Here is an 11,936-nt window from a genome sequence, read left to right on the forward strand (position 1 = left end):
AATTAGCTGAGTGTGGTGGTGGGTGTCTGTAATCACAGCTACTCAGGAGGCTGAGGCAGGAGAATTGCTTGAACTCAGGAGGCAGAGGTTGCAGTGAGCCGAGATCATGCCACTGCACTCCAGCCTGGGCAACACAGCAAGACTCTGTCTCAAGAAAAAAAAAAAGTAAAAGAATAAAAGGGTGGCTACTCCATAAGCAGAGCAGCCCCAAGTGCTGCTGGTTGGCTATTTTTACGGTTGTTTATTGGTCATATGAATTTTCCAGGAAAGAGGTGGGGGAATTCCCAGAAGTGAGGGTTCCTTCCTCTTTCAGACAATATAGAGTAATTTCCAGACATTGTCATGGTGTTTGTAAACTGTCATGGCACTAGTAGAGTGTTTTTTAGCATGTTAATATATTATAATTAATGTATAATGAGCAGTGAGGATGATTGGAGCTCATTTTCGTCACCATCTTGGTTTTGGTAGGTTTTGGCCAGCTTTTTTACATCTCATTTTATCAGATGGATCTTTGTGACCTGTACCTTGCAAAACAAGTCCTACCCAACTCCTGTCTCACTTTGAAGTCTAGGTTAGAAGAATCTCTAAAGACAGGAGGCCTCCCATATGTCAAAGAGGAAGGGAGGTTCCAAGTTCAGGGCCAGGAACAGAAATAGAGAAAGGAAGGACTATCAGGCAGGAGGAACCTTTCCCCTCTCCTTGGGAGGACACAAAATCACCAGGGAACAAAAAGAATGTCCTTTCTCTACCCTAAGTGATTCCTAACCACCATCCCCCAGCCCCCCAATCCCACCCCCAGCCCCCCACCCACCCCCACCCCCGCGCTGCTTTTCCTGATCTGGCAAAGAGAGAGTTCCCTTGCCCTTGCAGTAGACCCTTGGGCCAGGCCAGACCAGCTGACCACACACCAAGGAATCCCAGGACTGGGAAAGAGTGGGAGCATCCAGGTCAAGGGTCCTCTCCAGCCCCAGCCCCCACCGCAGCTGAAGGAATGCCGCAGGTGCAGTTTCCCAGCAGGATGGAGATGGTGCCTCTGTTCTTGACCGAAATTGTTTTCAGGACTGTACCTGCGTGAGATAGTGAGAGGGAGAGGGGCGAAGGGACGAAGGCGCGCCCGGAGAGGCGCGCGGGAATGCGGGAGCCGCGGGCGCAGAGGCCGCCGCTAGGGTGCAGCTGTGGGCTGACGTGGGAGCCAGGCCTGGGGTGGAGCCGCGCCGGAGCCGGGCCGGCAGCGCTGGCGAGGAGGTTCGGGTGTTGTGTTTCCACTGTAACTATAATTAGGCGGATTCAGTGTTTATTTAGGCTGAGAGCTGTAAGATAAATGACAGCTTCGAAGATGCTTTTCAGCACTTCGTAAATCACCCATCCGCCCGGGCAGTTTGCTGCTGCCACGTCTCGGTTCTCCCTCCGCGCGCTCCCTGTCCCCCCACTCACCTCGGAAGAGGGCACACCCGGGGACGACTCCGGAGCTGTCACCACAAAGGGCAGGAGGGCAAAGGGGAAATGGTGTCTGTGCTTCCCAGAGCCCTCAGCGCCCCGGAAGGGTACGGGGCAGCCTCCAGGAAAGCTGTCAGGAGACGCTTCCTCCCGAGGTGGTCCCGGCGGCCAAGTGGGGCTCGGTTGACGGGCAGGCTTGCCCTCCTCTGGGAGAATATGGTCTCTAATCGGCTCTAATTCAAGATCTCTTCCCTGTGCCCTGATGACACATCTGGAGATTTACAGGAGACGTTTGAGAAATATTTATAGTATGGGGACCGTTCTTTACCCTCCTGTGACTGTCTGCGCCTCTCTTGGGGGCTCAGGGTGGAAGGGCCCATGCCCTTTCCCATGGGAGAGTGCATTCTTGGAGAGGGTTGTGGACAGCAGGCCTGTCTCCCAGTGGGAGTTTGGAGCTCTCATGTCATTAGAAAGGGCAAAGACCTGGATGGCAACCCACCCTGCCTAGCCAGGCCTGGGCCTGATCAGTTCCCTTCGCAGGAAAAGGGAGCTCGGTGTGGGGAGGCCAGCGTTGGGCTCATCAGGCTTTGACTAGAAGCATCTAAACAGACCCAATGCAGAGGTGATTAACCCAACAGGGACCTGAATATGGTCCCTGGACCAGCGCCTTCCCTCACAGAAGTTTTGAATCAGAGTGGGTACTGCAGGGGCTCATGTCACACGTCAGGGCCAGCGCCATGGACCCTTCTCCCAGTATGGAAACTGGGAGAAGGAAATTAGTCTTGTGTAAAAGGAAACTGGATTTGGGGAAATTAGTCTTGTGAAAAATAACAAGTTAGCCTCTTTAGTAGAGATGGGGTTTCACCATGTTGGCCAGGCTGGTCTTGAACTCCTGACCTTGTGATCCACACGCCTCGGCCTCCCAAAGTGCTGGGATTACAGGTGTGAGCCACCCGCACCCGATTAGCTGGGCATGATGGCACGCGCCTGTAATCCCAGCTACCCGGGAGGCTGAGGCAGGCGAATCACTCGAACCCGGGAGGCGGAGGTTGCAGTGAGCCGAGATCACGCCATTGCACTCCAGCCTGGGCCACAGGGCGAGGCTCCATCTCAAAACAAAACAAAACGAAACAAAAAACAAACAACAACAACAAAAAACAAGTTAGCCTTCAGCAGCCAATAAGCCCTATAATTTTCTTATGAGGCCCATGATGCCAGGTTAGGTCATTCATGGTTTGGGAAGGTCCAGCCAAGCCACCAAGGAGACTGATTCCTGGCTTCAGACATCAAAGTACTGCTGAACTGGGGAGGGGCACCACACCACCACTGCTCTTTTCCCCATGCACAGACCTCCCCAAGGGATCTGCATTACCCCAGAGAGCAGAGCCATCTTCCCGCATCGAATGTGTGCGTATTGATACGTAAGGCACCATGGCCCCTGGGTTCTACGGCTACGATCCTCACTGCCCATGCCATGCCTCTAGGCCAAAATGCACCCAGCAAAGGAGTACATAGGCCAAATTCTGGCTTCAGAGATTGGAAGATTATCTATTGACATTTGTATTTGGTAGGGCATGAACGAGGTTGTTCTTTCTCCCACAAGGAAACCAAGCCGAGAGAACAGATGTAGTGGATCAAGTCCCCAATTCAGAGGCTCTGAGTCATTCTGTTAGTGTTGGATAACCCTGGGAGCTGTGTCAGGGTTTCATTCAGCTCTTCATTTATTCAGCACATATGACACACCTTCTCTGTGCTAGGTGTTGAAAATAAAATGATTAAAGACACGATTTCTTCAGCTTCTACTCTCATGTAAGAGATGGGAATAAAACAAATAATTACAAACGGGCTATAGTGGAGATGTATACAAAATAGGATGGAGTCTGGTACCTACTTAGCAAGGGTGATTCCTCTATCAGCAAGTGAGCCCAGTTCTCCATAGTGGGGCATTGCTGAAGTCTGAGTAACGCTGTTAAAAACAAACAAACAAAGAAACAAACAAAAATTATAGAGCCATGGTTAAGAGCATGGACTCTACAGTGAGACATATTTGAGTTTGAATTCCAACCCTGCCACTTACTGATTTCGGGATCTTGGGCAAGTTGTTTGACTTCCTTGTACCTCTTCTACAAAATGGGAATAATAACTGTTGCTGTTGTTATTATTATGTTTACTTCATAGGGTTGTAGTGAAGATTAAATGAGAGGGCTAGGCATGGTGGCTCATGCTTGTAATACCAGCACTTTGGGAGGCTGAGGCAGGTGGATCATCTGAGGTTAGGAGTTCGAGACCAGCCTGGCCAACTTGGTGAAACCCTGTCTCTACTAAAAATACAAAAATTAGCTGGGCATGGTGGCAGATGCCTGTGATCCCAGCTACTCAGGAGGCTGAGGCAGGAGAATGGCATGAACCCAGGAGGTGGAGGTTGCAGTGAGCCGAGATGGTGCCATTGTGCTCCAGCCTGGGTGATAAGAGCGAAACTCCATCTCAAAATAAAAAGATTAAATGAGAGAATGTGTATAAACTCTTTCCTGCTACACCATAAGTATCCCATACTCTAAATGTTAGGAATAGAAATAAATGAAGGAAGGAAGGAAGGAAAAAGAGAGAGAGAAAGAGAAAGGAATGCCTCTGTGTATAGGAACTAGGAAAAAATGCTCAAGTCCCCTGAATAAGAGAGAAGTAACTCTTACACAGCCACTGCCATCTTCTCCCTGGTTTCTAAGCCTTTATTGTGAATTGGGAGGCCTTGATTCTAATCCCAGCTCTTCCATTAGCTGGTAATACACCCTTGCTCAGTCTCTGGGCTCCCATTCCTCATTTGTAAAAAGAAAGGGGCAAACTCCCTTCTATAGTATTTTCACTTTTAACATTTGATGGCTCTGTTCAAGAATGCACACAAACTTTTGGAGGTGTGGATATGTTTATGGCATTGACTGTGGTGAAGGCTTCACAAATATACAACTAATCAAGTTGTACACATTAAATATGTTCAGCTTTTTGTGTGTCAATTATACCTTAATAAAGTGTCTTTTAAATGCACAGAAAAATATGAACAGTTAGGTATATTAATAATTTTACAAATCAACTAACAAAATGCATTGCTGCAGCAGTTTCTAAGCAATATTCTATCACTGATAAATGCCCTATGTGGTGCTCAAAATGATGACATATCAGCTGTCCTCAGTCCTGTCAAATATCTTTGTGACACTATTAACAGCCCAGCAACCACACTGAGGCTGTAGCAATGTCAAGGTTGAAGAGGTCAAATTTCCAAACCCAGGATTATTTTGAAAGTTTCCCTAAGCCCAAGATACTCAGAAGAAAAACTTAGATCTATTTTCTTTCCAAAACATGGATCTCTCTGATTAATTCGTCCTTGTCCTCTCAACCTTCTGTGTTCATTCCATTTAGTCAACATATACTGAATATTTCCCATATACCAGACCCTGGCTAGACACTTAGGATAAAAACAAATACTAGGCCGGGCACGGTGGCTCATGCCTGTAATCCCAGCACTTTGGGAGGCCGAGGCGGGCAGATCACGAGGTTAGGAGATCGAGACCATCCAGGCCAACATGGTGAAACCCCGTCTCTATTAAAAATATTTTTAAAAAAAGTTAGCTGGGCATGCTGGCGGGCGCCTGTAGTCCCAGCTACTTAGGAGGCCGAGGCAGGAGAACCGCTCGAACCCGGGGGGTGGAGATTGCAGTGAGCTGACATCACGCCATTGCACTCCAGCCTGGGTGACAGAGCCAGACGCCGTCTCAAAAAAAAAAAAAAAATACTAGTACAATTCCTTCCCTCAGCTGTGTATTGTCTTTTAAAGGGAGATATCTGAAGACATATCAAATAAATGCAATAAAATGCTGTTAGGTTTGTGACAGAAGTCTGCATAGGGAACACTGGGGTGCCAAGGAAGAAGTGGTCAGTTCTCTCCCATGCCTATGTGGTGCTCTGCACGCTATTGGTGTCCCATATGTGTTGGATGAATGAATGAGCTTACAAATAGCTTGGAGTAGAAGATCTGAGTGGGTGGAATAGTAGGAAGGGAAAGAAACCTACCTGCCCCCAGCAATGCTATGAGACGAAAAACCAGCTAAATTAAAGGGAATAGGAATGGGGTTATACATCCCTGCAAACAACCCCTGGAAACTGACATATCTAATAGATATACCCTGAAGCTGGTACTCTCTTATTTTAATTTTTTTTTAAGTTAAATAAATGAGTCAGGGTTTCACTATGCTACCCAGGTTGGTCTCAAACTCCTGGGCTCAAGTGATCCTCCCGTCTCAGCTTCCCAAAGTGCTTGGATTACAGGCATAAGCCACCACTTCCTGCCTAGTATGTCTCAGACGTAAGCCACTACTCCCAGCCTAGTACTCTCTTCCTTTCTGATCTAACTCTTAGAAAATCCCAAGGCTAGATTTCCTGGCCAAAACAAGTTGAGCAGGGTAAGGACAAAGGGAGGGCTTTCTCCCACCCATATCAGAAGACTTGAATCCCTGCCTGCCCAGATCATTATATAGAAGGAAAAAAGTCATTTATATTATACTATATTATACTATACTATATTATATTGTATTATCCCTGCCTACCCAGATCACTATATAGAAGGGAAAATGTCATTGTGCTGATTTCCAAAGAAGCTGGGCAAGGATGAACCAAGCCTCTCCAATCTTCATATGATCAAAGGCCACATTGTGTCTTGTTGCACATAGGCTTCCCTCACTCTGCAGCGTAGGGTCTGATGCGCACAAAGGAAGATAAAATTATAGACTTCTCTGTCTGATGGCTCACAGACTTCACCAGACACAAAGAGTGTTGGATGAGAGTATGTGGGTAAAGCAGCAAAACCAGCCCAACCTAAGTAGAAGAACCCCCAAATTGTGCCCACTCAGGGAGGGTAAGGATTGATAGCTTCCTTTGAGATATAGTGTATTCCTTTCATTTATATTTTGGCTTGAGATGCTAAAATGCAAGGAGGAGTGGAATAGCTGTCAAATTTACTAATGGGATCCATCTTCATAACGCAGATCTTCAGAAAACTTCTTGCAGCATAATAATTCAACTCTCCTCAGAACTTTCCTTCATTTCTGCCCTCTTGGGGAAGGGAGCAAAGAAAACTAGGCATTTCCCATTCAGCCCTGTGTCCGTTTGATGCACTGAGATCCCCTGCCTGGTTAACTTCAGGTTTTTCCCATCAAAAATCTCAGAGAGAACCCCAAACATTAGCGGATGTTAACAGGCAGTCCACAGTTACTGCCACCCAACAATCTCCTTCTGCTGACCCCTGGCTCCAAACTGGATTCAGTCAATGCGCTTGACTTTTCCCACACTTCCTGCTTCCAGTCAAAGAAAATGCAGCAGAGCCTGTTTTCCAGTGTAAGCATGTAAATTCCACACTCATCAACTTCAGGCTTTTGCAGCTGTTGGCTTGAGCCCTGCTCAGGACACAGAGAGACAGAGACAATAGAATTTGTTTTGAAAATCTGTCCTTCGAGTTAAAAAGATGGTGTCACTAATTCTTGTCTGGAGGACCTGTAATTTCAATGTTTCTGCAGGACTAGAGAGAGAAGTCACGAAGACCCAGAACGCTTCTTTACCAGTGTGCCTTGGTAATCAGACTGAGAGCTTTTGCTAATGCTAGGTAATTCTATTTGGCTCAACAAACATGTGTTGAGTGCCTACTAAATGCCAGGCACTGTGACAGGTGCTGGCAATTATTGCTAACAGCCCGTGCTTGTGTAGTATTTGGCCAGGGTTAGAGATGCTGTTAGGTGGCTGGGGGAAAAAAAAGGACTGAAGGGAGAACTGAATTCATCATTATAGCTTATCCTCTTTCAGAAAGCTTCTTAACACTACTTCAGGTGAGAAACACAATCAGCAGCACAAAGAGGTCATGTCTCAGGATAACACATTTGCATCAAGTCAGCTACTTTGTCTCCACTTCTGAATAATGGCATAGTAGGCAGAGCTTGGCATCTGGAGTCAAAAGAGCTAGGCTCAGATTCCAACCTCTCCGTTTAGTTGTGTGAGCATGGGCAAGTCGCCTGACCTCCGAGCCTTGGTTTCCAATTATATGAATTCGAAATAAAAATACTTGCCCTGTCCGGATCACTTGAGGTCAGGAGTGTGAGAACAGCCTGGCCAACATGGTAAAACCCTGTCTCCACTAAGAATACAAAAATTAGCCAGGCATGGTGGCAGGCACCTGTAATCTCAGCTACTTGGGAGGCTGAGGCAGGAGAATTGCTTGAACCTGGGTGGGTAGAGGTTGCAGTGAGCCAAGATCATGCCACTGCACTCCAGCCTGGGCAACAGAACAAGACTCCACCTAAAAAAAAAAAAAAAAGTGCCCTGTCTACCTCATAGGTAGAAGAATCAAGTGAGATAATGTAATATGGACCAGTGATTCCCAAATTTAATGTACATATGAATCATCAGGGGATGTTGTTAAATTGCAGACTGTGAGTCAGTAAGTCTGGGTGGATCTGAGATTCTGCACTTCTTTTTTGTTTGTTTGTTTTTTTGAGATGAAGTCTCATTATGTTGCCCAGGCTGGAGTGTAGTGGTGCGATCACAGTTCATCGCAGTCTCGACATCCTAGGCTCAAGCAATCTTCCTGCCTCAACCTCCAGAGTAGCTAGGACTACAGGCCTGTGCCACCACATCCAGCTAATATTTTTAAATTATTATTTGTAGAGATGAGGTCTTGCTATGTTGCCAAGGCTGGTCTTGAATTCCTGGGCTCAAGTGATCCTCCCCGCTCAGCCTCCCAAAGTGATGGGATTACAGGCATGAGCCACCAAGCCCAGCGTGCAGGCCTAACAAGCTCCCAGGAGATGCTGCTAAGGATGGCCTGTGGATCACGCTTTGAGTAGCAAGCTATGGACTGTTCACTGGTCATATGAAAAAGATGATGACACTGATTAGGCCCACCAGCTAAGTAAACATCGAAAACTCATTCAGCCCCATGAAGTCACTAGAGCTGTGTTAAACAGCCAGTGTGGTCAACAGAAGAAATTTATGTCATGGTATTTGCTTATTTAGGTGAAACCATTAGAGAATAATACCAATCTATCCAAACACAGCAGCTAGGTCAAAAATTTTTCCTATCTCTTTCAGTTAAAAACATTTACCCTGGATGTAAAACATTGAGATAAAGATCAGACAGGCTTTGATCCTGCCAGATCATATCCATCCCACTGTAACTGTCTCCTGCCACATTCCCTTGGAATCTTAAAACTGTTAGAACAGATATGCTTGAGGGTGGAGACTGCAAATCCTCCCCTGCCCTGGGCCTTCTCCAAGTGTTTGAAGACAATTTTGAGGTCACTTCAACCTGCTTCTGGGCACTGAAACATCTTCCTCTTTCCCAAATGCCTTCAGAACAGGTTTCTTCACTTCCCGAATACAAATGACGACTTACTCACACCCATAGGAATATTAATTAGTTAACATTTGTATAACTCTTATGAACTCATGGGATTATCCTAACAATGTACAACCTAGAAGAAATGAGCTTAAATCTGTTTGTCCCAGTCGCCTGCAAAGAGATGATCCATTCCTTAGAGCCTGCATGGCCAGGCCTCCAAGGGCCAAGACAAAACATATAATTAAGGCAATTATTGAGATAAACGGGAGGGGGAAATACTATAATGCAACATCCCTGGATGGGAGGCAGGATTCTCAGATTTTGGTCTTATCTTTGCCATTGTCCTGCTGATCTGGGATGGGGCTCTCCACTTTGCTAAGTAGAATTTGCCTGCTTGTAATGTACATACCGCTCGTGTGGATGGAAAGAATGTGTGAGTCAAAGGCAATATGAAGTGAAGAAAAGTAGTAAAAAGCAAGAAAGTAAATAAAACACATAGTTTTTTTTTAAGTTAACATGCCCTAGTGGTTTTTACCTGTGTTTTTCAGACAGTTGTGAGTTTTCTGCTTGTCATTGGTCCTGGAGACTTGGGTTCAGCTGGAGTTAAGAGGAATCAAGGTTCTCATCAGAGTTCCCTGAAGTCTCTGCTCCCTCCAGAACTTCCCTGGAGAGCAGCCAGCACTGAGATCTCAGCTTCTGCTCCAAGCCCATAGCTGATGCAAAGCGGAGTCTTTCCTGAAGGAGGGCGGGGAGGAGTAAGTGGCGACAGTTTATCTGAAGCTGGCGCTGGGTTCATTAAGAGACCTGGTGCAGTTTATCTGCTTCTTGTCCACGGAGTCAGCTGCTCTGAACGCTGAGTCCAGGGCCTGTCACCATCCCAGCCCTGGTGGCGTCAGGTTGGAAGGGTGTAAAACAGAGCGTCCTCTCTCTCCCCCAACCTCAATCTCCCCTTGTCTCCAACTATCTGTCCTCAAGGGGTCAGATAGGAGCTGCAATTGTAGGAAAGAAGCTAGAAGCCCTCCTGTCAATGCTTTCTGCCCTGCAGACAGTGAGGTCCTCTGAACTGATTTGACTGCTCCCAGAAAGAAGCAGCCTAGAGCTCAGTGGAGGAGGTGGAGAGAAGAGACATGGACTTACCTTTATCAAAGCCGCCTTGCCTTGAATGTAGGTGACATGTATTTTAAGTGATGCCATTTGTCCTTGTCCATGTCACATTCTCACGATGGGGAATGGGATGAACTTCTGTATTCCAGAAGGGGAGGCCCAGGGATGGTAAGACTTTCTTAATATCCCACAGCAACTCAGTGAAAGCGTCAAGAATACAACACACACCTCCTGAGTCCTGGACCAGTCCTTCCTGGGCCCTGAAGTGAGGTCTTCAGTCCTTCTTCATGCCGTTCTCATGATCACAACCAGCTTTAAAAATGAAGATGTTCCAGACCGCTCCGCAGGATAGTCAGATGGTCAGGATGTATCACACTGTGCCATCCATGCTCTCTTGCCTGGTTCTCCAAGATCATCAGCACAACAGGTGTGTCTGCCTGGGCTTAAAGGCCCAGCCTGTGAACAGGGGAAAGATCCATTCTCTGGCCAGGCTCAGTATTCCTTCAGTTCAGGACAGGTCAGTGACTTATCCAAACAACTTAAGACACCTGTCTCAGGAGGGAGGTGGCACCTTCCTAGAGCATCAGTGCATCATTCAACTATTTGGAGTAGACTCCAATAACAGAGATGATCAACTTCCTACTCTATTGGAAGAGTACCACCACCATATCTACTATTGGAATTCATTTCCAAAGGGTTATTGACTTTTCCCAGGAAGGTGGGAGACAGCAAGTGGATTTAGCCAAGTAAAGGAGAAATGTTTTTTTAATGGAAATCTGCCTCTTCAAAACTCCAAAAGCTGTCAGCCCCAAACCCTCAAAGCCCATCTCCAAATTCAGCTTCTCTGAGGGTCCAATTCACACTTACCCTTTGCTATCTGCTTGATCCATGACCCCTTAGAGTTGCTGCCTCACTCCAGGTTCAAGCACCCAGGATGTCATCAAGCAAAAGCAGGTAGAGATCTCACACTGGTCTGTAAGCCCCCACAGCCCTCTTTTCCCCCAGGAGAGAAACCAGCCACAGTGCATGCCTACATTGGAGGGTAGACTTGTGGCTGAGGGAGAGTGAACAGTTTGGCCAGAAGGTGGCTGGGCTCAAAGCCTGCACTGGCAAAGACCTAGGAAGAGTAAGACTGTGAAGGGGGTCGCTGTGCCACTTTTTGAGTTTCTTGGCTGGAAGTGTTTGGGTTTTGTTTGTTTATTTTGTAGAAACGAGATCTCACTATGTTGCCCAGGCTGGTCTAGAACTCCTGGGCTCAAGCAATCCTCTCACCTTGGCCTCCCAAAGTGCTGGGATTACAGGCATGAGCCACCATGCCCAGCGTGGCTGGACATGTGGAAAACATTTATTGTTGCTAACTCAACAAGGAAATTTTAGAAGAAACTGAAGAAGCCTCCCTCAGAGGGCAATTGTTCCTTGCCTCAAGTTCATAACTGCTTGCCTCTCAAGGGGTAGAAAGGGGAGGAGTGGATGTGTCAGGATCCTGGACCTCTGTAAGTAGCAGGATTTGATGTTGTGAGACTGCATAAGGAAAGGGCTAGGGACAGTTTGACACTCGGTCCGCTGAGCAACTCTAAACTCAAACCGGAGTCCACAGAACTCTGTACCCTCAGACTCAGCTGCCCATGGTATGTCTCTCTACTAGAGCACAGTTGTTAAGGGTTTGGGGCCCTGGAGCCAGGCTATTCCACGTTTACATTTCAGCTTGTCATCTTACAAGCTGTATACTTAATCCCTCTAAGCCTCTATTTCCTCATCTGTTAAATGGATATAATAAGAGTATTTATTTCTTGGGATTAAATGAGATCAAGTTCTTAGCACAGGGCTTGGGTGCATGGTAAGCACCCCATAAATGTTGTTATCATTAACTTTATCTTTAGAGGCTTTTAGGGAGGGGGCTTCCTCACTCTCCACTTCCAAGTGCATCCTTCTAGAATGCTACTTCTGTCCCAGTGGGCCTTTCTCTTCGTCTATCCGTCCCCCTCCATCATAAAACAAGGTTTGTCTCTGATGCCCTCTG

This window comes from Homo sapiens, chromosome 17, assembly GCF_000001405.40.
Source record: "Homo sapiens chromosome 17, GRCh38.p14 Primary Assembly".
Taxonomy (NCBI): domain Eukaryota; kingdom Metazoa; phylum Chordata; class Mammalia; order Primates; family Hominidae; genus Homo; species Homo sapiens.